We start from the raw sequence: 3,229 nt of genomic DNA on the forward strand, positions 1-3,229 counted from the left end.
CCCTGCTCGGGCCTCACCCCAAGGGGGCCACTGCACTGGGGAAGGCCCAGAACCCACATCCTGCACAGCAAGGGGGACTGTGGCTGAGGAGGGCACGGGGTGGCAGCCCTAAGCCCAAGGTTCCGGAGACGCCACTCTGTAAGCACCTCACATGTGCCAGAGTCACTGTCATGTACATCAGGGTCACCCTCATGTCAACATCATCCTCACACGTGTCACCAGTAGCATCACATGTGTCGCCATCACCCACATGTGCATCTTCCTCCCCCACACGTGTGTCACCATCCCCCTCAGTCAGTCACATCCCCCTCAGTGTGTCACCATCCCCCTCGGTGTGTCACATCCCCCTCAGTGTGTGACCATCCCCTTCATTGTGTCACCATCCCCCTCAGTGAGTCACATCCCCCTCAGTGTGCCACCATCCCCCTCGGTGTGTCACATCCCCCTCAGTGTGTGACCATCCCCTTCATTGTGCCACCATCCCCCTCAGTGAGTCACCATCCCCTTCATTGTGTCACCGTCCCCCTCAGTGTGTCACCATCCCCCTCAGTGAGTCACCATCCCCCTCAGTGTGTCACCGTCGCCCTCAGTGAGTCACCATCCCCCTCAGTGTGTCACCTTCCCCCTCAGTGAGTCACCATCCCCCTCAGTGTGTCACCATCCCCCTCAGTGAGTCACCATCCCCCTCAGTGTGTCACCATCGCCCTCAGTGAGTCACCATCCCCCTCAGTGTGTCACCTTCCCCCTCAGTGAGTCACCATCCCCCTCAGTGTGTCACCATCCCCTTCATTGTGTCACCACCCCCCTCAGTGAGTCACATCCCCCTCAGTGTGTCACCATCCCCCTCGGTGTGTCACATCCCCCTCAGTGTGTCACCATCCCCTTCATTGTGTCACCATCCCCCTCAGTGAGTCACATCCCCCTCAGTGTGTCACCATCCCCCTCGGTGTGTCACATCCCCCTCAGTGTGTGACCATCCCCTTCATTGTGCCACCATCCCCCTCAGTGAGTAACCATCCCCCATTGTGTCACCATCCCCCTCAGTGTGTCACCATCCCCCTCAGTGAGTCACTATCCCCCTCAGTGAGCCACTATCCCCCTCAGTGAGCCACCATCCCCTTCAGTGTGTCACCACCCCCCTCGGTGTGTCACATCCCCCTCAGTGTGTCACCATCCCCCTCATTGTGTCACCATCCCCCTCAGTGAGTCACCATCGCTCTCAGTGTGTCACCGTCCCCCTCAGTGTGTCACTGTCCCCCTCAGTGTGTCACCATCCCCCTCAGTGAGTTGCCATCCCCCTCAGTGTGTCGCCATCCCCCTCAGTGTGTCGCCATCCCCCTCAGTGAGTCGCCCTACGGTCATGCGTCATTCCACAGTCACGGAGTCATCCCACCATCACATGACTCAGCGAGCCGGGGATGTGGGAGATTCTGGGCTCCAGGCCAGCACTGAGTGGCTGCTGAGACCAAGGTTGGGACTTGGTTTTGCTTTATTACCCTTCCTTGCCTTTCCTTCCCAACCTCGCTTTGCCTGTCCCACCACCGACGTCTGCCCAAGTTCAGGAAGCTCCTGCTGGGGTAGAGTGAGTAGAGTCAGAGTCACCTTCACATGAGTCATCCCATCACTAGTGTCAGCATCACTGTCACATGTGTCAGCATTACCACCTCGTCCACCCGTGTCTGCTTTGGAGACTCTAGAAATACAAAGGTGCAGCTAACCCGGCCCTCTCACTCCAAGGACCACAAGCTTGATTGGGAAAACACCTGGTGTCCCTGAAGGCAGATGGCAGCCAAGACCAGGGACACTGGGGAAGCCTGGGGATGGAGCAGAGAACCTGGAGAAGGCAGAGACTGGGCTCAGGCAGCTGGAGACGGCTTCCTGGAGGTTGCCACAGCAAAGCGCTGCCGTCGTGTGGTGACGGCCAGAGGCCCCAAATCTGGTGTGAGCAGGGCCACGTCCCTCCAGGGGCTCTGTGGGAGAACCCCTCCACCTCTTCCAGCTTCTGGAGGCTCCACAGTTGCTGGGTTCTGTGACTTGGGTGGCCTCACTGCCCCATCTTGTCCCCATGGCCACGCAGTTTCTCTGTGGGGTGTCTTGTGGCTTCATGTGGCCACCTTCCTCTAAGACAGCAGTGTGTGGATCGGGGCCTACCCAACTCTGGCATCACCGCATTTAATCAAGTCCTTCTGCGAAGGCCCAGTTTACAGATAAGGCCACACTCTGAGATTCTGTGTGGGCGTGGATGTTGGGAGATGCCACCGAACCCACTACTGTAGGGCAGTTTACGGGGAATTTAGTCCTGGCCCAGGCTAGCCAGGAGCTGAGGGCCACACCAGGCCTCACAGGGTCCTCCCTACAGCCTCCTGCCTGTAGTTGCATTGGTGGATCCTGGTCAGAGGGCATCGGGGACAGGCCATGTGGAGGCCACCCAGGAGCCAGCCATGGTAGAAGTTTCCAGAACCACAGACCACAGGCATGGGACAGCCGGGTCTCCTATGGAGCAGTCAGCATTTCTTGTGGGGAGCCTTGCCTCAGAGGGCTCACATACGCCGTACCTGCTTCATGGGGCACCTTCGGACACTAAACATGTGTCTTTTCTCTGCGTATACTACGTGTATGGCATAAAATTAGCAAATGGCTTTTGATCATTTTCTAACTTCATCTGAACCTTGGCCCCAAGCACTGGAGGCTGAGCCGCAAGCGTGAGGAGGCAGCCATTTCCCTGGGACTGCAGAGCCCAGGCGGGCGCCCGGCTGGGGCAGCGGCTCCCCTCTTCCAGGAGACACTTCCAGAGCTCAGAGCAGGACTGGGACTGCAGAGCCCAGGTGGGCGCCCGGCTGGGGCACCGGCTCCCCTCTTCCAGGAGACACTTCCAGAGCTCAGAGAAGGACACAGGTTTCTCGTTCACACGGGCTCTGTGTAAAACATGAAAGCTGCATTTTCCTTTTAAATCAATACAATGAAATCCCCTCACCCTTTCTCTCCAAGCTGTTTTCACAGTGAGAGCAAGCGTGCCAGGTCACCCAGAGAGGAACCAGCTTGAGAACCACTTTGCTTTTATCTTTTCTCTCCTAGCAATGCCCACATTTCCATTTCATATGGGGAAAAGCCATTTTCCTGCTAGAAGTCAGCAAATTGCCTTGGCAAACAAGAGCAGCCACCTCTTCTCCGAGGCCCAGCGTGGGACTTGCATCCAGATTGTGGATGCAACAGGACCGGGGAGTCCTCC

The 3,229-nt window shown here is 57.7% G+C and overlaps 1 annotated feature.

The window, feature by feature from the left end:
* Window positions 1,115–2,314: an enhancer, noted in NCBI's record as "P300/CBP strongly-dependent group 1 enhancer chr18:76254093-76255292 (GRCh37/hg19 assembly coordinates)". NCBI's record gives its function as "activates an origin of replication core promoter dependent on BRD2, BRD4, P300/CBP, MED14 and CDK7 cofactors, with strong dependence on P300/CBP, by STARR-seq in HCT116 cells {active_cell/tissue: HCT116}" and the evidence as "EXISTENCE:reporter gene assay evidence [ECO:0000049][PMID:35650434]".

The sequence above is a fragment of the Homo sapiens genome, chromosome 18, assembly GCF_000001405.40.
Source record: "Homo sapiens chromosome 18, GRCh38.p14 Primary Assembly".
Classification (NCBI taxonomy): domain Eukaryota; kingdom Metazoa; phylum Chordata; class Mammalia; order Primates; family Hominidae; genus Homo; species Homo sapiens.